A 24,988-nucleotide genomic window follows, 5' to 3' on the forward strand; every position below is an offset into this window, starting at 1 on the left:
TATTCAAAGAAAATATTGCCCACACTGATATCATGGGCTGTTTCTCCTGTTTTTCTTCTAGTAGTTTTATACTTTCTGGACTTATGTTTAAGTTTTTAATCTATTTTTAGTTGATCATTTTTGGTTTTTGTTTTATTTTTAGAAAGGTTGGAGTATAGTGGCTCAATCATGGCTCGCTGCAGCCTCAACCTCCCAGACTCAAGTGATCTGCCCACCTCAGTCTCCTGAGTAGCTGAGACTATAAGCGCATGCCACCATTTCTGGTGAATATTTTATTTTTTATAGAGATGAGGTCTCACTATGTTGCCCAGGCTAGTCTCAAATTTATGGGCTCAAGGAATCCTCCAGCCTCAGCCTCCTAAAGTTCTGGGTTTACAGGCATGAGCCACCCTGGCCTAAGCTGATTCTTATATAAGGGTCCATTTTATTTCTTTTGTATGTGAATATCAGGTTTTCCAAACACCGTTTATTGAAGAGATTTCCCTTTCCCATTGTGTGTTCTGTTCCATTTGTTTTCAGTTTAGTTTTTATTTTGAGACAGGGCCTTGCTCAGTCACCCGAACTGGAGTTCAGTGGCACAATAACAGCTCATTGCAGCCTCAACCTCCTGGGCTCAAGCAGTTCTCCACCTCAGCTTCCTAAGTAGCTGAGACTACAGGCATGTGCCACTGCACCTTGCTTTTTTTTTTTTTTTTTTTTTTAATTTTTGTAGAGATGCAGTCTTACCATATTGCCCTGGCTGTTCTTGAATTCCTGGGCTCAAGCTATGCTCCCACCTTGGCCTCCCAAAGTGCTAGGATGACAGGCGTGAGCCACCACACTCAGCCTCTATTCCATTTGTTGATGTGTCTGTTTTTATGCCAGTACCATGTTGTTTTGATTAGTGTAGCTTTGTAATATGTTTTGAAGTCTGGTGATGCCTCCCTCGTTATTTTTGGTCCAGATGGCTTTGCATATATGGTGTCTTTTGGGGTTCCATACAAATTTTAGGAATCTTTTTGTCTACTTCTCTGAAGAACGACATTAGAATTTTGGTAGGGATTGTATTGAATTCGTGGATTGCTTTGAGTGGTATGGACATTTTAACATTAATTCTTCCAGTCTATGAACACAGGATGTTTTTCTATTTATTTATGTCACCTTCAATTTCTTTCATCAATATTTTCTCCAAGGCTGCACCAACCTACACCCATGCAGTCTGCACTGTGCTCTGAAACTAATAAGGTAATCTTTAAATTGAGAAAATTGACTATAATCATGATTCATCATTTTATACCAGCCCAGGGGCAGTCACAGCACAGACTTTTTTTTTTTTTACCCAGAGTCCCAGACCAGTGTTGTAAGGCATGGAAGCTCAAGCCCCAGTTTCAGCTCATCTGCTCCTAATTTCTTCACACTTTTGGCCATCAGAGTCTTTGGACATTTGCAATAAAGTCTACGTAGTTGTGAACGGGTATACTTTTGCATAGAGAGGAGAAATAAGAACAGGGAGGAAAGATAAAAGTCAGCAGGAAAGGAGGACCTAGACCAAGCAGCCTATCTCCAAGCACAAAATGTCTTCAAGACATTTCTCAAACACTTGAAAACATTTATTATCATTTTAATGTTTGCACCCCGTTGTGTCTGGAGTTGGTTCCTTCCAGTGGGTTCCTGGTCTCGCTGACTTCAAGAATGAAGCCACGGACCTTCGCAGTGAGTGTTACAGCTCTTAAAGATGGCATGGACCCAAGGAGTGAGTGGTAGCAAGGTTTATTGTGAAGAGCAAAAGAACAAAGCTTCCACAACATGGAAGGGGACCCAAGCAGGTTGCTGCTTCTGGCTGTGGTGGCCAGCTTTTATTCCATTATTTGTCCCATCCCATGTTCTGTTTCTGTCCTATCAGATTGCCCTTTTTTCAATCCTCCCCACGATTGGCTACTTTTAGACTCCTGATGAGTGGCGCATTTTACAGAGCGCTGATTGGTGCATTTTACAGAGCACTGATTGGTGCGTTTTACAGAGCACTGATTGTTGTGTTTTACAGAGTGCTGATTGGTGCATTTTACAATCCTCTTGTAAGACAGAAAAGTTCTCCAAGTCCCCACTTGACCCAGGAAGTCAATCTGGCTTCACCTTTCAATCCCCCCACTAAACAGGACACCCCAGCTGCTGCTGGGAATGGGGTGATGACCACTGTAGCTACTTCCTGCTGGATGGGGGCAAAGAAGGGGCCCTGCAGTTGTAGTGTCCTCCAGAGAGGAGCTCTCTAGGCCAGTCAAACAGCCAGTGGGTCGGTCCAGGGGTCCTCAGTAGAAGTTATGAGTTGAGCTCATTTGGGGTTCCATTTGTAAGACCATCTGTAGCTTGATGGCCTTGATCCTGGAGGAAATAAATTTGACAAGGAGGTTAAAAATACAGGGCCCGAAGGCGAGTAATAGCAAGATGGCTGTTATGGTAACTAGAAAGGGGAGAAGCCATGTCACCCAACTCCAGAAGTTGGTATAAGAGTTTGAAAGGTGTTGTCTGATTTCAGAAGCCTTTTCCTGTAAATGCCAGGCAGTGTCTTGTACTATCCCTGACTGGTTAGTGTAAAAGCAACACTCTTCCCCTAAGAAGGTACAAAGTCCTTCTTTCTCAGCAGTGAGGAGGTCTAGGCCTCAGTGGTTTTGGAGAGTCACTGCTGCCAAAGAGTCTATTTGGGATTGTAGAGTAAGGATAGATTTTGTTATTTCTTGCAAACTGTCTGAGAAATCCTTTGAGAGTGTGTGGTAGTAGGATAATGAAGTAGATAAACTGGCTATTCCGGTTCCTGTAGCAGTGGCCATTCCTAACCCTATATGTAGGGGTATTAGTTGTATGGCCCTGTGCTGACAGATTTGAGCTTTGAGGGGCACTGGTAGGGTCTGATTTCCTGGGGTAATGTTAATGTTGGCGATTAGGAAGACTAAGGTACAGGTGCATGTCCAGTTTGTAAGGAGGCAGATATAGGTTGAAGTTCCACATAAGAAGAATATGCCTTGGCTGGGTAGACAGAACTGGTTGTGTATGTTAAAAAGGTTGTGAGTTTATTGTTTTCATTTTCCCATACTCCTAGAGTACTTGCCAAGGTAGCTCCGGTGAGTGGCTGGAAAGGGGTGTTGGGAGCAAACTGAGTGGCTCCCCGTGTTCTATTGTCCCATTGGAGAAAAAACCTTACTGTTTCCTCACAAGTTTATCATGATTTTGTATATTTTTGAAAAAATTAAAAAATAATTTGGATATTATTGTTTTTTATATTTTTTAAAAGTTTGTAGTAAATTACATTTCTGAATGAGTTATAACTTCTAACAAATTATAAATTAAGCAATTTTCAATATTAAATATTACTGTGGCCTATTACAACCACATTTACATGCAAAATTAAATAGTTAAGGAAAGGGGGGTGGGACCTGGGGAATAGGAGAGTGAGAACTTGACACATCCTCTCCCAAAAAAAGCAAGAAGCAACAATAAACTAGAAAAAAATTATTAAAATGTTTCAGAAACCTAAAAATCAACTGAAGGCATAAAACTAAATAAAAAGTAATTACTAAAACTGAGAACCACAACAAAAAAGGAGAGACTACAGAGGGTCCATCTTATCGACTTGTCCTTGTTTGAGTATGAGACTTTAAACCAGTGAAAGTGGGGACAGCTTTGTACACTGCCAGAACTTTGAATGTGTACCCTAAACTACATAAAGGTCTCCTTGTCAAGAGTGGAAGCTTTACTGAATCAAGGAGTTTAAGAGAAATCTTGGAGAAAACATTGTATGACCCCTATTCTGACCCATTGGTGACCCCAAGGAAGCCAGGATTAAAAATAAATAAAAATTAAAGAAAATCATTACAAACATCATTAGCTGAAAATTGCAGGGGAAATAAGACTCTAGAAGCAAATTGCTAAGTAAACAAACAACTAAACAAAGAAAACCCACAATAATCCCTTGGGGAATCAGAATGCAGAGTAACTGCAATGTAGTATATCAATTGCACATGGGAACAGGCAAAAATTTCATGACAAAGACACCTAAAAGCAATTGCAACAAAAGCAAAAATTAACAAGTAGAATCTTATTAAACTTAAGAGCTTCTGCACAGTAAAGGAACTATCAACAGAGTAAACAAACAACCTACAGAAAGGGAGAAAATTTTTGCAAACTATCCATCTGACAAAGTTGTAATGTTCAGCATCTATAAGGAACTTAAACAAATTTATAAGAGAAAAACAACCCCATTAAAAAGTTGGAAAAGGACATGAACAGACATATTTCTAAAGAAGACATACATGCAGCCAATAAGCACATGAAAAAAAGCTCAATGTCACTGATCATTAGAAAAATATAAATCAAAACCACAATGAGATACCATCTCACACCAGCCAGAATGGCTATTATTAATAGCCTGACAGATGCTGGTCAGGTTGTGGAGAAAAAGGAACACTTATACATTGTTGGTGGGAGTGTAAATTAGCTCAACCATTTGATGTAGCAATCCCATTACTGGATGTATACCCAGAGGAATACAAATCATTCTACCATAAAGACACATGCATGTGAATGTTCATTGCAGCACTACTCAGAATAGCAAAGACATGGAAGCAACCTAAATGCCCATCAGTGACAGATGGGATAAAGAAAATGTGGTACATATGCACCATGGAAGTCAAACTCGCTGTTTGCTGATGACATGATTGTATACTGAGAAAACCCTAAAGACTCATCCAAAAAGCTCCTAGATCTGATAAATGAATTCAGTAAAGTTTCAGGATGAAACATCAATGTACACAAATAAGTAGCACTGTTATACACCAGTAGCAACCAAACTGAGAAAAAAATCAAGAACTCAATCTCTTTCATAATAGCTGCAAAGAAAAAAAACTTAGGAATTTACCTAACCAAGGAGGTGAAAGAGCTCTAAAAGGAAAACTATAAAACACTGCTGGAAGAAATCATAGATGACACAAACAAATGAAAACACATCCCATGCTCATGGATGGGTAGAATCAATATTGTCAAAATGACCATACTGCCAAAAGCAATCTACAAATTCAATGCAATTCCCATCAAAATGCCATCATCATTCTTCACAGAACTAGAAAAAACAATCCAAAAATTCATTTGGAACCAAAAAAGAGCCTACATAGTGAAAGCACGACCAATCTGCATAGCCAAAGCAAGACTAAGCAAAAAGAAATCTGGAGGCATCACATTGCCCAACTTCAAACTATACTACAAGGCTATAGTTACCAAAACAGCATGGTACTTTCATGGAAACAGACACGTAGACAATGGAACAGAATAGAGAACCCAGAAATAAAGTCAATTACTTACAGCCATCTGTTCTTTAAAAAGCAAACAAAACAGAAAGTGGGGAAAGGACACACTTTTCAACAAATGGTGCTGGGATAATTGGCAAGCCACACGTAGAAGAATGAAACTGTATCCTCATCTCTCATCTTATACAAAAATCAACTCAAGATGGATCAAAGACTTAAATCTAAGACCAGAAACCATAAAGATTCCAGGAGATAACATCAGAAAAACCCCTTAGGCAAAGATTTCATGACCAAGAACCCAAAAGCAAATGCAACAAAAACAGATAAATAAATGAGAATTAAACTAAAAAGCTTCAGCACAGCAAAAGAAATAATCAGCAGAGTAAACAGACAACTCACAGAGTGGGAGAAATTCTTCCCAAACTATGCATTCGACAAAGGACAAATATCCAGAGTCTACAAGGAACTCAAACAAATCAGCAAGAAAAAATAACAAATAACCCCATCAAAAAGTGGGCTAAGGACATGAATAGACAATCTCAAAATAAGATACACAAATGGCCAACAAACATATGAAAAAATGCTCAACATCACTAATTATCAGAGAAACGCAAATCAAAACCACAATGTGATACTACCTTATTCCTGCAAGAATGGCCACAATCAAAAAAACAAAAAGTAATAGATCTGGGTGTGGGCATGATGAAAAGGGAAGACTTTTATACTGCTGGTAGGAATGTAAACTAGTACAACCACCATGGAAAACAGTGTGGAGATTCCTTAAAGAACTAAAAGTAGAACTACCATTTGATCCAGCAATCCCACTACTGGGTACCTACCCAAAGGAAAAGAAGTCACTATATGAAAAAGACACTTACACACACATGTTTATAGCAGCACAATTTGCAATTGCAAAATACAGAACCAGTCCATCAACCAACCCATCAACCAACCAGCCCATCAACCAAAAAGTAGATAAAGAAAATGTGGTATATATATATACATATATACACACACACACGTATACATATATACATATATACACACACACTGTGGAATACTACTCAGCCATAAAAGGAAATGAAATAATGGCATTCACAGCAACCTGGATGCAGTTGGAGACCACATTCAAAGTGAACTAACCCAGGAATGAAAAATGAAACATTGTATGTTCTCACTTATAAGTGGGAGCTAAGCTATGAGAACACAAAGGCATAAGAATGATACAGTGGACTTGGGGACTAGGGGAAGGATAAGAGGAAGGTGAGGGCTAAAAGACTACACATCGGGTACAATGTACACAGCTGAAGTAATGGGTGCACCAAAATCTCAGAAATCACCACTAAAGAATTTATCCATGTAAACAAGCATTATATCCTGTTCCCAAAAAACCTATTGATAATACATAAATAAATAAATAAACAAATAAGTAAATAGTTGGAGATTCAGCAGTGAAAAAAAAAAAGTTGGATAGAAAGTAATAAAGTAGGCCTAAAGAAAGAAGGAATAAAAAAATTTTAATGAGACAGAAAACAAAGGAAATAAAGAAAATTCATAGAAATTAAGGCAAATTTAAACACATTCACAATAAACAAGCACTTGTTTGTGCTTACTTGATAATTTGTTTCCAGATGATCTGCCTTAAAACAAATACAAAAGGAAGTCCTTCAGGCTGAAAGAAGGTGACATCCAAAGGGAATTCACATTCACAAAGAAAGGTAATTATGTAGGTAAATTTTAGAAGACAACGTAAATAGATTTTTCCATTTGTTTACTTATTTAACAATTATTATAAAACTATATTGTTGGGCTTATAATGTACAAACATATATAAAAATAATGCACGAACAGTGGGAGAAAGAACAAAGAAAGAAACTCACAACAAACTGGTAATACAAGCGGATTTCCTCAGACCGATAAAGGCTAGTTATGAAAAACCTACGGTAAACATCATACTTAAAGGTGAACAACTGAATAATTTTAGCCTAAGGTCAAGAACAAGGCAGGATGTCTACTGTAACCACTTACATTCCACATTTTAATGGAGGTTCTTGCTAGTTCAATCAAGAAAGAGAAATAAAACACATCAATCTTAGAAACGAAGAAGTAAAACTGTATTCTCCGACAACACTCTCCTATATGCTAAACTTCTAAAAAACAGAAAAAAAAAAAACTGTGAATAAGTGAGTTTGGCAGGGTCACATGATGTAAGATTAGTAAACAAATCATTTTTATTTCTACATATTGATGAACAATCAAAATTGAAATTAAGACAGTTTTATTCACAACAGCATCAATAATAAATACACGGAAATAAATTTAACCAAGTGTAGAATTTATGTATTGAAAACTACAAAACATCACCAAAGGAAATTTTAAATTATCTAAATATAGAGATCATTTATGTTTTGGACTATAAGACCTATTGTTCAGATAGTAATACCCCTCAAATTGATCTATAAATTCAGTATAATCTCTATCAAAATCACAGTAGACATTTTACAGAATTTGACATGCTAATCCCAAAACTTATATGGAAATGCAAAAAAAAAAAAAAAAAAAAACAGAAAAGCCAAAATAATTTTGAAAAAGAAGATCCAAGTGGGAGGGGAACTTACTCATCCTGATAAAGACTCTACAAAAAAACCTATGGCCTACATTTTATTAATGGCGAGGAATTAGCAGCTTTCCCACTAAAATCAGGAGCAAGCCAAAGATGTCCTCTCTTACCACTCTTTTTCAACATGTACAAGACTCCTAGAAAATACAGTCAGACAAGGAAATGAACTAAAAAGATACACTAACTGGGAAGAAAGAAAGAAAACTCCTGACCAACGTGATGAAACTGTCTCTACTAAAAATACAAAAATTAGCTTGGCGTGGTGGCACGTGCCTGTAATCCCAGCTACTTGGGAGGCTGAAGCAGGAGAATCGCTTGAACCAGGGAGGCGGAAGTTGCAGTGAGCCAAGATCGCGCCACTGCACTCCAGTCTAGCAACAGAGCAAGACTCTGGGGGGAGAAAAAAAAAAAAAAAAAAGGAAGGAAGGAAGGAATGCAGGCAGGCAGGGAGGGAGAGAGGGAGAGAGGGAGGAAGGGAAGAAAGGGAGGGAGGGAGGGAGACTGTATTTGTTTGCAGATAGTGTGATTTTGAATATATGTACCACTCTGGTAGGGGATGTTAATAATGGGGGAGGCTACAATGTGTGTGTAGGAGGAAGGGGGATATGGGATATCTCTGTATGTACTTCCTCTCAATTTTACTGTGAAACGTAAAACTGTTTCTTTTGTTGTTGTTGTTGTTGTTGTTTTCTGAGACAGAGTCTCACTCTGTCGCCCAGGCTGGAGTGCAATGGTGCGATCTTGGCTCACTGCAACTTCTGCCGCCCGGGTTCAAGCGATTCTCCTGCCTCAGCCTCCCGAGTAGCTGGGATTACAGGCAGCTGCCACTGTGCCCAGCTAATTTTTGTATTTTTTGTAGAGATGGGGTTTCACCATCTTGGTCGGGCTGGTCTTGAACTCCTGACCTCGTGATCCACCCGCCTTGGCCTCCCAAAGTGTTGGGATTACAGGCGTGAGCCACCGCGCCCGGCCCTAAAACTGCTCTTAAAAATAAACTTTTTTCTTTTTTTTTAAATGAACCAAGCAGGGAGATTTTTACTATGTAATTTCAAAATTGGTCATAAAGTTAAAAATAATGATCAAAACACCGTGGTTTGACACTTTCTTTGAAAGTTGAAGAATTTTACCATATGACCCAGTAATCCACTCCTACTTACATAAAATGTCCAGGAAAGACAAATCTGTAGAGACATAAGTAGATTAATGATTGCCCGGAGTTTGTGGTGAGAACACAAAGTGACTATTATAGGACACAAGAGAGATCTTATTTGGATGATGAAAATGTTTTAAAACTGGATTTTGTTGATGGTCACACAACTTGGTAAATTTACTAAGAAGTATTGAATTAGAACCTTAAAATGGTTGAATTTTATATGTGTAAATTATACTTCAGTAGCTTTTTTTTAAAAAAAAAGCAGTGGTCTGGAAATGCTGAAAAGTTAATATCCTAGACTCAAGTCTTTTAAATCTGTTCTTGTGGGCTCGATACTGTTCTATGGATTAAAAAGCTGCTGCTAATTTGATTTTCAGTGTTTATCTTTTATATATTGCCTACTCCACTGGACTACAAGTTTATTGAAGGTAAAATACTGTTTTCAGTATTTCAGTATAAATATGTAAAAAAAATCTATTTATATCCCAAGCCCGGTAGTACTTAGTGTAGCATTTGGGCAAAGCCCAATCTCATTAAATACTGGGCCATTTAACTTGTTTGTAATGAAATTTTGTAACTTAACATAAGACTTGTTCTTATTAATGGAGACTAATTCTCCTCCATTTAACTGTGATTAGAATAGCATTTTTTAAATTTTTCATTTTTGTCATCTCCCTCATTTAACTAAAAGCATAGTAACACCAGCTAGAGGATAAACAAAATATAAGCATATAATTATATATATTATTAACATTATGTTAAATAAGACAAGTCCGGTGAATGAAAATATTTTCTGTTGAAAAACAACCAATTAAAATGAGATATAGTCATTTGGTTAGTCATTATTATTTTTTAAAGCCTAGGTTTTTTGTTGTGTGTGTGTTTTTTTTAAAGAAACAGGACCTCGTACACGATCTCCAACAATTTTGGAAACATCTCCACGACTTATTCGAAAAGCACTAGAATTTATGGATTTAAGTCAATATGTTCGGTAAGTTTTCATAAACATGATTGATGCAGACAACTGTGTGTTTTGTTAAATCGATTATTAAAATACTTAAATGTTTTCTGTAAAGATTTAATTTGAGGCCTGATTAAGGTGAGATGAGCTACAAAAAATTTCTATCACACCTGCTACCATTATTTAATTAGATTCAATTTTTAATAACTAGATGATAGAAATATATTAAGCATATTTATAAGTTTGAAAACATCATCAAAATTATTAGCTGCATAAATTCAAAGGAAAACCTACAAGATATTCTCATAGTTTTGAACACAAGTTTCACAATCACCTCATCAAGTGGTGAATCCAAATTCACTGATATTCTCCAAAATGTTTTCCTAAAATATCAGTGACTCAATAAATGGAGCATAGCATATCTAGAAAACAACCATTTATTTTTTCTATCCCTAATGTTTTATTTGACTCAGACCACCACACTGTTGATATGATTTAAAATTATTTGATGTCTAAAGTGAAGCTTATTCCAGAGTTCCCAAATGAAATCTGTATCTTTTGATGACTTTTGTATCAAGGAAAACAGATACAGATCCTCTGCTGCAAACAGATGAATTGAATCAGCAGCAGGCAATGCAAAAGGCGGAAGAAATTCATCAGTTTCGACAGCATAGGACCAGAGTCCTTAGCATTCGAAACATTGACCAAGAAGAGCGGTTGAAGTTAAAGGATGAAGTCCTGGATATGTATAAGGAAATGCAGGTGAGTCTAAAAGCACATACATAGATTATAGTTGGCAAATTCTTTCGTAACATTAAAAAGAAATTATATAATTAAATAATATTTTGTATAGAAATAAGTCTTGAAAACATAGGTTTCTATTATTCACAACTTCTAGGAAAACATCACAAATTTGATTCTACACATCTCATCTCACTCCCTCCCTAAAATCCCCCTAAAATGCAGTATTGGGAATCTATCCTCAAAGATGGGAAGAATAGGAGAGAAAACAACAACAAAATTATTTGTTCAAGTTGGAAAATAACTGGATGAAGATCATATTAATCAGCTTGAGACATACAAATCCTAAACTGTCAGTGGGAAAAGTCTTTTTTTTTAAGTGTTTTTTAAATAAAACACAATCTTAAAGTTAATGATGATTGGTCTTGGTGGTTCCTAGTGGTAAGTCCTGTCTTATTTTTTCACATAGTATAAATTATATTTTTATGCAGGATTGCATTAAAATCCAGTAGTTCTTAATGTTACCAAATAACCATATAATTCCCAAATGCAGCAAAGGTGAACAATCTACATAGTGCACTTTCACCTCAATGAAATTGAAGCTGCTCCTTTCGGATATTTTTCCACTTCAATGTGAAGCAGATTGTTGGGATTTCATTAGTGGTTTCATTATGTGGCTTTTTAAAAGAAAAAATAGTTTTGATTTCTTCCACAGTTCACAGTTCTCAGACGAGACTTTTTTTGTAAATTACACAGTTCAGGGATGTTTTGAAAAACCAAATCCTCTTTAGTAGATGAAATCTCTCAATGTAACTGTAATAAATAAGCATCTACATCCTTAGCTATATTACCAGTATATCCTGGAACCAAAGTAAGATGGTTTTCCTGTTCCCATAATCCACTTAATTGTTGTTTTAAAATTTGAATATTTCCATCATTTAAAATTTGTTTTGGATGATAGTTCTGACCACCACCTTTTAATGACTGCTTGAAGCCAGTTTAAACCAACTATAACATATTCTTCAAATTTGCTTTTAAGTAGTGACTTTACTAGAAGCAACAAGTCTACACAGCAGCCAAGTGAGATATATTGTTTTTCTTCCTGTAAACAATTGGTGAGCACAGGAAGGCAATCTACCACAACGCCAAGATCTTCTATCCTCAACAAATAAGCTACAAGTTCACTTATACTTCTCCTTCTCCAGAAACTTAAAGCTACATTCAATCTCATATTCCTGCTGAACAAAACTTGGACCATTGTTTCATGGTCCTGAGAAACCTCAGAAAAAAACCCACTATATTTTGATGATGGGCTTTCTGTCTGTGAAGAACCAGAATCACTGGAGTTAACCAAATATGTTCGACTGTCATGGTGTAATTTTTCAGTCTGGTGGCCTGCACAAGCCAGTTCATTTTCTTTATTTGCCATGTCACAGCCCCCACCTTCCAGGGGGCTGTTTTTTTCTGTAACAAAGATTTGGAAAGGGATGATGAACTTTCTTTCTGCGATAGATCACTTTACGAAGTTTATCTGGGCTTTTCACAGTTTGTCCAACTGTTCTATTTATGTAAGCAGCCAACTGTTTTGGAGACTTCTTAACCTCCTTCATGTTCTTATCAGTGAAATTAGAGATCTTTTTTTCTAGGAAGATCAATGAAATGATCCTCAATCTTATTACAAAAGTTCCGTTTTTTAACATTGTGAGTTTCCGATGCCATAATCTCTTAAGTACCGGCGCCTCATGGTACCGCGGCGCCTCAGCCCAGCCTCCGCGCTGACAATCAGCGCCCGGCAGCCTAGAGCGTCCCTCGGCTTCTGGGCCGAGTCCCACTCAGGGCCATTCAAACGCGGCCGCGCGCGCGGCCTGCCGGGATAGCTGGGAAAAGTCTTAACAAGCCAATTAGCTCCTCAGAATGCCTACAGAATCCCCAAAAAGGCTTAGCAATTGGTGGCAGCAGATATGTTAGGAAGTAAAAGTGAAGTAGGAGGAAGATGAAAATAGTTGGGTTTGTTCAGCTTAAGGCTATTTAGGAATTGCAGATCACCACTTCAACTTTTTGCATCCAGATTATTGTCATCCGTTCACCCCAGTAGAAGAATAGGTGTCCTTTAATTAGAGATGACAACAAATGAAAAAAGGATTTCTAAATTGTGGAAGACTATACTTTATTGAAAATGGGAGTATCATACTAGAAAAGGGGAAATTCAATAAATATATATGGATAACTTCCCACTACGGATAATGAGAATCTTTTTTTCTCCCTGCAACACACACGCACACACTCCTACACATCCCCAAAGACACTAAAGCCTATAGGAAATTCTAAATATTTTGGCTACAGTGAGACTGTCATTTCCAGTAATGGCTCATGTGATGAATGTGCCTATTTGACATCTCTTCTTGTTTGTCCAATAGGCACCTCAAACAGAACCTCTCTAAATCCAAATTCAAGAATGCTTGCCCTCCTTCCCATCTCAGCGCAAATATGTCACCCCACCAAGATTCTCCATCTCGGTCAATACCAATTGCATTCTTTCAGTTGCCCAAGCAGAGACTATGGAGATATCTTTGACTTCTGTCACTCCCCACGTGCGATCAATTGTCAGAACCTCTCGACTCTACCTTGAAAATATATCCAACATATATATCACCACCCTAGCCTAACCTGTCATTCTTTCTTATTCAGAGGATTGCTATAGCCCAGTTACTGATCTAACTGCTTCCATCTTTGCCCCTCCACAATGTGGTCTCTGCTTTGCCACAAAACAATTGTACCAATCACGACAAACTAGGCTTATCCTGTGGTAACAAAACCCCCAATATCACAGTGGCCTAACATAGTGTTTGGCAGACTTATTTTCTGTAAAGGCCCAAATAGGAAATATTTATGTTGCATCTACTCAACATTACCATTTTTTACACAAGATCACAGATAATACCTAAATAAATAGGATAATGGCAAAATGAATAAAACTTTACTTAGAAAAATAAGCAATAAGCCAGATTAACTTTACAGGCCTTAGTTCACCAACTCTGGCTAAAAACAGTAAAACGGTATTTCTCATTCTAGCTATGTGTCCAGTGCGGTTCAATAGAGCAACCTTCTTATCAAGATCCCCTGGCTGAAGGAGCTTCCATAGAGACACCTCTACCATGATTATTACAACAGGGGAAGAGAACATGGGGAATTGCACATTGGCTGTGACTATTTCTACCCAGAAATGGCACATTCATTTGCACTCACATTTCACTGACCAGAGCAAGTCACATGGTCACATACAACTTCAAAGAAGGAACCCACCTTGGTGACACCTTGATGCCAAACTTGTAGCATCAAGCACTGTGAGGCAATGCATTTCTGTTGTCTAAACCCAATTTGTGGTTCTTACAGCAGCCCCAGCAAGCTAATAAAGAGGGAGGGCAATGCTACGAGGTACCTGGAAGATAACCAGCAATATTTTGTGAATTACACTAATGGTTATCATAATGCATATTTAAAATGAAGGTAGAATTATTTCACTTCCCTAATGGCTTTACATTTCATTAAGAAATAAACCAAAATCTTGATTATGACCTCCAGAGCTTTCCTCTCTGATCTTTTTATCCACCTTTTGCCTAGGTGACTTTGCCTTTCCACTAACAGCAAGGCATGTTCCCACCTCTGGGCCTTTGACCTCACTCCTCTCTCTTCCTGGAATATTCTTTCCCCAAAGTGTAGAATGTGAAACTTTCCTTTTATGAGATCTCTTATCTAGGGTCACTTATTAGAGAGATCTTCACCAGCTGCTCTTTCACAATTACTACCCTCAAAATTTGTGTAACCGTGCCTAGTCTTATTTTTCTTGAAGGCACTTACCCTGCATGTGCATTTATTTATTGGCATATGAAAATGTAGATATATTATAAATACTATGCTTTCATTTTTGATTGTTCTCTGCTACAATAAAGACTATATGTGGACAGATATTCTGTTTAGATTCACTGTTGTGTCCCCAGACCTTCAGAGGAATGTCTGTTTTGCAAAAGTTTGTTTGATTAATGAATCAGTAAATCAATGAATGGATATTAAAATTGTGTAAGTTCAATTTACCATGTGGGAAATAATTTAGATTAGATTAGAAAACAAAAGGGAATTTCAGGATTGCTGTTTGTGGTTTTTGTGTGTAATAACCAAATAAATGCAGCAGATAGGAAACGGGGAAAAAATACTAAGACAGCTTTGAGTTCACTCCCATTCATTTATGTGAGAGGCACAGAGAGAGCCCTAGTTTTGATTGAAGCCATTTTAAGAGAAACATGATCAATAACATATTTCTTATCAGATAGGAGAATGAATATGTTTTATACTCATTCCTCAAGGGATTACTGATGTATATTAAACTTATTTACACACTTTCTTAAAATGTCTCTCCTGCTCATTCTCTTGCTGTCTCTTTCTCTCTTTAATATGTCACTACTATCTTCTACTTGTGCAATTGGTTTAGTCAATCCAGTTTTATTATGGTAGCTACAGTATTATCTTTTGTAAAAACTTCGGGAATTCTGATTCTGACATCCAGCTTTTCCAACATCTCAATAAAATTAAGCTGGTTGCAAAAAACATGGAAAATGTCTTGATAAATTCAAGGACGAAGACAAAGCAGCCATTTCTAGAAGAGTCTTTTCAGGCTAGCATCTCTGCTTTAATCCTTATTCTTTGATTATATTACTTTTGAAACAGTAAGCAATTCATTTGGCCACTTCCCTTTCAAGAGATGAAGGAGAAAAGGAGAAATCAGTGAAGGTGACTGAATAGGAGCAGCTGGTGAGACAGAAGACAATCTAAGAGCTAAGTGAAATCAGTTGATCCAGGAGGAGAGCGTGCGGTTAAGCAAGAATAAGAACAGTAAATGATCTTGGATTTAACTACATATAAGGCCTTGGTATCCTTGATGAAGAATGAAAGTCAAGCTGACAAGAGCAAAGTAACCAACGGATTTGGCCATACTATTTGGAGCTTCATCATCAAGTATAGCTCATATATTTTGTCAAGGATAGCATACATGTGGGGAACTAGTAATTTCTTGAGCACAGTTACTTTGCAAGAGACATTGGGCTTATTAATATCTCATATAGATTATATTTGAAATAATTTAAACAGAATACCTTTGGTAAAAAAAAGTATGTTTTGACTATTTTTTCTACAACTGTTTTTATTTTGCCGTACTGTGTTAAAATCTCATGAACCCTTTGTTGCTATGTTTTGTGTATTGATAAGCTTTTGAGACCATACACTAATTTTCATCTTCAATCATTTTGCCTATGAATGTGTGGGCATAAGGACAGGCTAAAGGAATTTCATTTTTTTCTTTCTGGGAACGTAAGCCTTTACCAGTGGAATTATTTGTTTGGGGTTTTGCTTTGGAACAGGACTCCTTAGATGAAGCCCGACAGAAAATTTTCGACATCCGGGAAGAGTACAGAAACAAATTGCTGGAAGCTGAGCACCTAAAGCTGGAAGCTCTCTCTGCTCAGGAAGCCGCCATGAAGCTGGAGACAGAAAAGATGACCCCAGCTCCTGACACACAGAAAAAAAAGAAAGGAAAGAAAAAGTAACCAGGGGATGTCCAATACCACCCTGCTTCTGGAGAGAAAAAATTTATTTGTAATGATCTTTAACTGCCTGCTGATAAGATATTGGGCCAACTGAAAATAGAAATTGTTCTTTCTTAGAAATATTTTAATGCTAACTTGTTAGTTTTCCTCAGAAAGCTAGTATTTGAAGCCATTCGAGTTTAAGATGCTCTAATTTCAATAAAATAGCTTCCAAATATTTAAAATGTAATAAAATATATGTTTGACACTCTAAACTGCCTGCATTTTTAATTAGAAGTGAAACAAGTTCATAAAGCAACAGGATTATCTTTGAAAATTTCAGCGATGAGAAAAGTGGCTTTTGTTCTTAGAAGAAATTTAGTCTTAAACTTTAAAAGTTTAAAAATACTAATAACTATGCTTCAGTTTTTTTTTTTTTTTTTTTTTTCTGGAGACTGAGTCTCACTCTGTTGCCCAGGCTGGAGTGCACTGGTGTAATCTCGGCTCTCTGCAACCTCTGCCTCCCAGGTTCAAGTGATTCTCCTGCCTCAGCTTGCTGAGTAGCTCTGATTACAGGCACCTGCCACCACACCCTGCTAACTTTTGTATTTTTAGTAGAGACGGGGTTTCACCATGTTGGCCAGGCTGGTCGCGAACTCCTAACCTCAAGTGATCTGCGCGCATCGGCCTCCCAAAGTGCTGGGAATACAGGCGTGAGCCACCACTTTGGGCCAAATTATGCCATTTTTAAAAACTGAACTTCAAGAAACCTCCTTCATAGACCAAGAACTACCCTGGCTTAGCCCACCCAAAGTGTTAGGACTCTAGATCCTAGCAACCCATCATGGTCACCTGGGTGTAGAGAGCGTGTGATCTCAAACATCCATTTTCATGCTCACCAGTGTTGTGTTTTCTCTAAGACACAGATGAAGTTGTTATACCCTAGTCTTAGAACAATGCAATGAGTGGATTTAACTGAGGCACATAGCAGGAAATTGACTTTCTCCAAAAGCACACTTCTAATTCATGACTATCTCAAAACTCTCATAGTATTTTTTAACCAGTGAAAGCGGTTTCACTTTGGCAGGTGATTTTACTTATCCTTTCTACTGTTAATCTTTGTTATTTAAAATATTTATTTATTGAGACATGGTCTGGCTCTCCTGTCCAGGCTGGGATGCAGTGGCACAATCTCAGCTCACTGCAACCTCTACCTCCTGGACTCAAGCCATCCTCCTAATTTTTTTTTTGAGATGGAGTTTCACTCTTGTTGGGGTGATCATACCCAACACCAGGTCGTGGGGGTGACAAAGTCCAGCGGAGTCAAAGGATTGAGAAAAAGACAGTTTGAGAGAGAAAGCTGGGACCAAGTGGCCATTGCGATCGTGGAGGCCGCGAAGGCCTCGAGCTGTGGGAGCCCACGCTATTTATTGGTAATCAACAAAGAAACAGGTGGTGAGAATGTGGAGGTCAAAAGGGCAGGCGCATATCTACAGCTGTGACGGTTTAGCATTTATGTGGAACATGTTCTGCTACTTGAGATAATGGGAATAGGAGCCTAGGAGGGCTAGAAGCAAGAGGCCAGCAAGTCTAGACACATTCCAGAGGACATTATGTCAGACATGCAAGCCCTGCCTCAGTTTTTGTCCCAACACTCAGCTTTTTCCTAACACTTGTTGCCTAGGCTAGAGTGCAATGGCGCAATCTCGGCTCAATGCAAACCTCCGCCTCCTGAGTTCAAGTGATTCTCTTGCCTCAGACTCCTGAATAGCTGGGATTAGTGGTGCAGCCACCACGCCCGGCTAATTTTGTATTTTTAGTAGAGACGGGGGTTTCACCAGGTCGACCAGGCTGGTCTTGAACTCTTGACCTCAGGTGATCCACCCCCCTCGGCCTCCTAAAATGCTGGGATTACAGGCTGGAGCCATGGCACCCGGCCAATTTCTGTATTTTTTTGTAGAGACGGGGTTTCACCATGTTTCCCAGGCTGTTCTCAAACTCCTGAGTTCAAGAGATCCACCCATGTCAGCTTGCTTCCCAAAGTGCTGGAATTACAGGCATAAACCACCACATCCAGCTTAAAAATATTTAATACTCCCATAAATGATCAACTAATTTTTGACAAGGATGCCAAAAATACACATGATGAAAGAAAATCGTTTCAAAAATGATGTTGGGAAAACTAAATATCCACATGCAAAAGAATAAAATAGGAACATTGCCCTATGCTATACAAAAAAATTAAATAGATTAAAGATTTAAATGTAACATTGGAACTCATAAAATGCTTAGAAGATTGCATACAGAAAAAATCTCCTTGACATTGGTCTTGGCAATTTCTTTTGGAGATGACACCAGAAGCACAGGCAACAAAAGCAAACATAAACAAGTAGGACTACATAAAAATAAAAAGCTGCTGCACAGCAAAGAAAACAACAAAATGAAAAGACAATCTATAGAATGGGAGAAAATACTTGTAAACTGTATATCTGGCAAGGGGCTAATATTTAAAATATATTTAAAAACTCATATAACTCAATAGCAAAAAAAGCAAATAACCTGGTTTTAAAAATGGGCAAAGGACTTGAATAAACACCTATCCAAAGACGACACAGGAATGACCAACAGGTATATGCAAAGGTACTCAGCATCATTAATCATTAGAGAAATGCAAATCAAAACAATGACATCTCACCTCACACCTGTTAAGATGGCTTTTATCATAAAGACAAGAGATAAGTGTTGGGGAGGGTGTGGAGAAAGGGAACCCTGTACACACTGTGGTGAGAATGTAAATTGCAATAGCCGTTACAGAAAACAGTATGAAAGTTTCTCAAAAAATTAAAACTAGAGCTACCATATGATCCAGCAATCCCATTCCTGGGTATATATTAAAGGAAATGAAATCAGTATGTCTATGAGAGGTCTGCAACCCTCTGTTCATGGCAGCATTATTTACAATAGTGATATGGAAACAGCCTAAGTGTCCATCAATGGATGAATGAATAAAGAAAATGTGGTATATATATATATAATGGAATATAATTGAACCATAAAATAGAAGGAAATCCTGCCATTTGCAACAACACAGATGAACATGTAGGGCATTATGCTAAGTGAAATATGCCAGAAACTGAAAGAAAAATAATGCATAATCTCACTCACATGTGGAATTGTGAAAGTTGAACTCATAGAAGCAAAGTGTAGGACAGTGGTTACCAGAGACTTAGGGGTGAGAGAAATGGGGAGATGTTGGTCAGAGTACAAACATGTAGTTATAAGCTGACAAATTCTGTGTATTTCAGGTACAGAATGGATGGTGCCATCAGAATCAATAGTAGTAATTAAATTGATTATATTAATCATTCAGTGTACACATATATCAAACCATCCTGTGGTATACTTCGAACATATACAGTTTATTTTCCAAAAAATTTTTTAAAGTTTACATGAAAAATTAATTTAATATTTTATACATCTGCCCACTTGTATATGTAATGTTACTTAATTTAATAAATGCAAATGTGCATTTTCACATTATCCTTTGCCTACTCTTAGCTTCACAACCTTATGACCCCAGCTCCCAAAATACACACATAGAAACAACCTATTTTGAATGTTTCCATATTTTTCATTCATCTCATATGCTCACACCAATATTTTATATACTGGTTTGTTTTACAAAATGGCATTTTTTAAAGCATAATACAATGTGTCTTGCTTTTTCTCACCAAACAACACAGAATCTCTTCAAGTCACTGGTAATTTATTCTTTTTAATTGCTGTGTAACATTCCATGGTACAAATATACCATAATTTATTCATATATAAATTTATGAATTTTATATATACATGTATGTGTGTCTTTGTGTGTTTATATATATATATATTCAGGATATTCAGGTAGTGTGTGTAAATATATTCAGGATATTCAAGTAGTAACATTATTATATATTCTCAAGTTAGATAAAAATCATTGCAAACAATTTGTCATTACAATTTAAGTGATGTATTTTTGATCAATTACTTTCAGATATTTTTTGCTATTAATTGTTTGATAGTTTTCACTTGCTTTCTTCTTCTTTACTTTTCTTGCTGTGTTTTTTTGTTTTGTTTTGTTTTTGAGATGGACTCTCCCTCTGTCTCCCAGGCTGGAGTGCAATGGTGTGACCTCAGCTCACTGCAACCTCCACCTCCCAGGTTCAAGTGATTTTCCTGCCTCAGCCTCCTGAGTAGCTGGGATTACAGGTGTGTGCCACCACGCCTGGCTAATTTTTTTTTCTATTTTTAGTAGAGACGGGGCTTCACCATGTTGGTCAGGCTGATCTCGAACTCCTGACCTCATGATCCGCCTGCCTTGGCCTCCCAAAGTGCTGGGATTACAGGTGTGAGCCACCGTGCCCAGCCTGCTGTGTTTTTTAAACTATTACTCTTTAAGCTTTTTCTATTTCTGATTTTTGCTATTTTTCCAAAGCTCTGATAGTTTCTTTGTAGCTTATTTTGAATCATTATGTTACATTTTTCTTCTGATCAAAGCATACTTCTCTGGGATGTTTTCATTTTCTGTCTAAGTATTATTTGTTTCATTTTATCTCATTATCTTTAATAACAGATTTTTCCCCATTATTTAAGAGATTGAGTTTTATAAACTATTAGAAGCAGGTTCATATAAATGACAAAGAATCTAAAGGAACTCTCCCAGCTTTATGGATGGAGGACGACCCACAATGAGAGACTGAGGCAAGAGTTTCATCAATGTCTCGAGATTTGTTAAGCTTGAGGGGGTGCCCAAAAAAAAATACATAAAACACGAGTCACAGAAACATCTGTGCTTGTGTTCTCTGAAGGGGTTTTCAGGAAGTTCAATGTTTATACATTTCTTTAAAGGGGGGAAGGCATGTAGGAAAAGGCAGGTAGGTGGTGAGGCAAATGGTTACACATTTCTGTGAGATTTTAATCAGTGCCCATGAAATGCACATTTTATATCAGATAAGGTGAACATTCCAAGAACAAGGGAGTAAAGGAAGAATCAACCATGCAGACATCTCAGGTTAGGTGGAGGAATGATTGATCCCTTCTTGTATGTTCTGCACCTGGGAAGACAAACTTGTTATCGACATTGTCAGCGTGAAATCTAACAGACTTTAGTTTTAGGTGCTAGATTTGGATTGCAGATCTAAAGTTTTCAATGACATGCCCTTGTTTTATGGGAACATACACATTTTTGAAAGGTTTCCAGGCCAGCAAAGAACTTAACTGGGAACAACTTGGACAGTGAAGCTTTTTGCCTTTCTATGGGGTCGGACAAATGTGCAATGCTTTGACACAAGGTTGTGAAGAACAGCTATTCATTTGGGAAAAGAATGGCCGTGTTGCATGACTCAGCCTCCAGGCTCTCCAGGCTTATCTTTCCCTTTGGCGTAATGAGTTTGGGGGATCTGAGATTTTTATTTTCCTTTAGAGTTGTAATCATCAAAATATGGCCTGATTTCCCAATGACCTGTCTCGCAGAAAATCCTGCTTTATGACAGATTGAGTTTTTTGCCTCTAAGCCCCTGTTTACTAGATTTCTGTGGACCTTGCTTTTCAAGACAGTTCTATCTTTAGATATTTTTTCTCTTGCGGTAATCTGAATCCGTGACCCTTTGGTCTCAACATTCTTTCTCCCCTTTCTCCAGCATTTCTCAGTTTGCTTACTTCTTCAGAGTGTTCTCTTACTTTAAGGCATGTTCTTCTGGATATGTCTTAGAGTTTCAAGTGGAATTTCATGGATATTAGGGTCCGTTGGTGGTTTATTGTGTTCTCACCTGTGCCAACCATACAGATCTAAATGCTGAGATAATCCTGCTGGTTGTCTGTATTTGGGCCACAACTACAGATGCAGAAATTTTTTTTCTCGGTCACTTTGTATGTGTATTTATTGGTGTATGAAAATGTGGATATATTATAAATACTATGCTTTCATTTTTGATTGTTCTCTGCTAGAATATAGACTATATGTGGACAGATATTCTGTTTAGATTCACTGTTGTGTCCCCAGACCTTCAGAGGAATGTCTGTTTCGCAAAAGTTTGTTTAATTAATGAATCAGTAAATCAATGAATGGATATTAAAATTGTGTAAATTCAATTTACCATGTGGGAAATCGATTAGATTAGATTACAAAACAAAAGGGAATTTCAGGATTGCTGTTTGTGGTTTTTGTGTGTAATAACCAAGTAAATGCAGCAGATAGTATTTTATCCCCATTTCCTCCCTAACTCAGACAGCTTTGAGTTCACTCCCATTTATGTGTGAGGCACAGAGAGAGCCTGAGTTTTGATTGAAGCCATTTTAAAAGAAACGTGAACATTTTTATCAGATAGGAGAATGAATGTTTTATACTCATTCCTCAAGGGATTACTGATGTATATTAAACATATTTACAAACTCTCCTTAAAATCTCTCTCTCCTGCTCATTCTCTTGCTCTCTTTCTAATATGTCACTACTATCATCTTCTACTTGTGCAATTGGTTTAGTCAATCCAGTTTTATTATGGTAGCTACAGTACTATCTTTTGTAAAAACTTCAGGAAGTCCGATTCTGACATCCAGCTTTTCCAACATCTCAATAAAATTAAGCTGGTTGCAAAAAACATGGAACATTTCTTGATAAATTCAAGGATGAAGACAAAGCAGTCATCTCTAGAAGAGTCTTTTCAGACTAGCATCTGTGCTTTAATCCTTAGTCTTTGATCATATTATCTTTGAAACAGTAAGCAATTAATTTGGCCACTTCCCTTTTAAGAGACGAAGGAGAAAAGGAGAAATCAGCAAAGGTGACTGAATAGGAGCAGCTGGTGAGACAGAAGACAATCTAAGAGCTAAGTGAAATCAGTTGATCCAGGAGGAGAGAGTGCAGTTAAGCAAGAATAAGAACAACAAATGATCCAGGATTTATAGCTACATATAAGGCCTTGGTATCCTGGATGAGTAGTTTTGCTAAAGTGGTGAGAATGAAAGTCAAGCTGACAAGAGCAAAGTAACCAACAGATTTGGCCATACTATTTGGAGCTTCATCATCAAGTACAGCTCAGATATATTTTGTCAAGGATAGCATACATGTGGGGAACTAGTAATTTCTTGAGCACAGTTACTTTGCAAGAGACATTGGGCTTATTAATAACTCATAAATTGTATTTGAAATCATTTAAACAGAATACCTTTGGGGAAAAAAAAGTATGTTTTGACTATTTTTTCTACAAATGTTTTTATTTTGCCATACTGTGTTAAAATCTCATGATTTTGTCGCTATGTTTTGTGTACTGATAAGCTGTTGAGACCATACACTAATTTTCATCTTCAATCATTTTGCCTATGAATGTGTGGGCGTAAGGACAGGGTAAAGGAATTTCATTTTTTTCTTTCTGGGAACATAAGCCTTTACCAGTGGAACTTATTTGTTTGGGGTTTTGCTTTGGAACAGGACTCCTTAGATGAAGCCCGACAGAAAATTTTCGACATCCGGGAAGAGTACAGAAACAAATTGCTGGAAGCTGAGCACCTAAAGCTGGAAACTCTGGCTGCTCAGGAAGCAGCCATGAAGCTGGAGACAGAAAAGATGACCCCAGCTCCTGACACACAGAAAAAAAAGAAAGGAAAGAAAAAGTAACCAGGGGATGTCCAATACTACCCTGCTTCTGGAGAGAAAAAATCTATTTGTAATGATCTTTAACTGCCTGCTGTTAAGATATTAGGCCAAATGAAAATAGAAATTTCTCTTTCTTAGAAATATTTTAATGCTAACTTGTTAGTTTTCCTCAGAAAGCTAGTATTTGAAGCCATTTGAGTTTAAGATGCTCTAATTTCAATAAAATAGCTTCCAAATATTTAATAAAATATGTTTGACACTCTAAACTGCCTGCATTTTTAATTAGAAGTGAAACAAGTTCATAAATTAAGCAACATGATTATCTTTGAAAATTTCAGCAATGAGAAAAGTGGCTTTTGTTCTTAGAAGAAATTTAGTCTTAAACTTTAAAGGTTTAAAAATACTAATAACTATGCTTCAGAATTATGCCTTTTTTTTTTTTTTTTTTTTTTTTAAGACTGAGTCTCACTCTGTTGCCCAACTGCAGTGCAGTGGTATAATCTCAGCTCACTGCAACCTCCACCTCCTGGACTCAAGCCATCCTCCTAATTTTTTTCTTTGGAGATGGAGTTTCACTTTTGTTATTGGGGTGATCATACCCAACACCAGGTCGTGGGGGTGACAAAGTCCAGCGGAGTCAAAGGATTGAGAAAAAGACAGTTTGAGAGAGAAAGCTGGGACCAAGTGGCCATTGCGATCGTGGAGGCCGCGAAGGCCTCGAGCTGTGGGAGCCCACGCTATTTATTGGTAATCAACAAAGAAACAGGTGGTGAGAATGTGGAGGTCAAAAGGGCAGGCGCATCATCTACAGCTGTGACGGTTTAGCATTTATGTGGAACATGTTCTGCTACTTGAGATAATGGGAATAGGAGCCTAGGAGGGCTAGAAGCAAGGAGCCAGCAAGTCTAGACACATTCCAGAGGACATTATGTCAGACATGCAAGCCCTGCCTCAGTTTTTGTCCCAACACTCAGCTTTTTCCTAACACTTGTTGCCTAGGCGGGAGTGCAATGGCGCAATCTCAGCTCACTGCA

The 24,988-nt window shown here is 37.5% G+C and overlaps 1 protein-coding gene and 1 pseudogene across 2 annotated transcripts in view; one reads left to right on the forward strand and one right to left on the reverse strand.

Annotated features, from left to right (window-relative positions):
* ADGB (androglobin) overlaps positions 1-24,220 on the forward strand; it is a 216,491-nt gene extending 192,271 nt beyond the window's left edge. Inside the window, exons 34-36 of the mRNA NM_024694.4 lie at positions 9,941-10,037; positions 10,586-10,769; positions 23,790-24,220. Coding sequence (NP_078970.3) covers positions 9,941-10,037; positions 10,586-10,769; positions 23,790-23,975 — 467 coding nt within the window. The 3' untranslated portion in view covers positions 23,976-24,220. The remainder of the gene's footprint in view (positions 1-9,940; positions 10,038-10,585; positions 10,770-23,789) is intronic.
* On the reverse strand, positions 10,427-12,582 carry KATNBL1P6 (katanin regulatory subunit B1 like 1 pseudogene 6; annotated as a pseudogene). The gene has a single exon (NR_003954.1). The product of NR_003954.1 is annotated as a katanin regulatory subunit B1 like 1 pseudogene 6 (transcript).
* Positions 24,221-24,988: the final 768 nt, after the last annotated feature.

The sequence above is a fragment of the Homo sapiens genome, chromosome 6, assembly GCF_000001405.40.
Source record: "Homo sapiens chromosome 6, GRCh38.p14 Primary Assembly".
NCBI classification, from domain to species: Eukaryota; Metazoa; Chordata; class Mammalia; order Primates; family Hominidae; genus Homo; species Homo sapiens.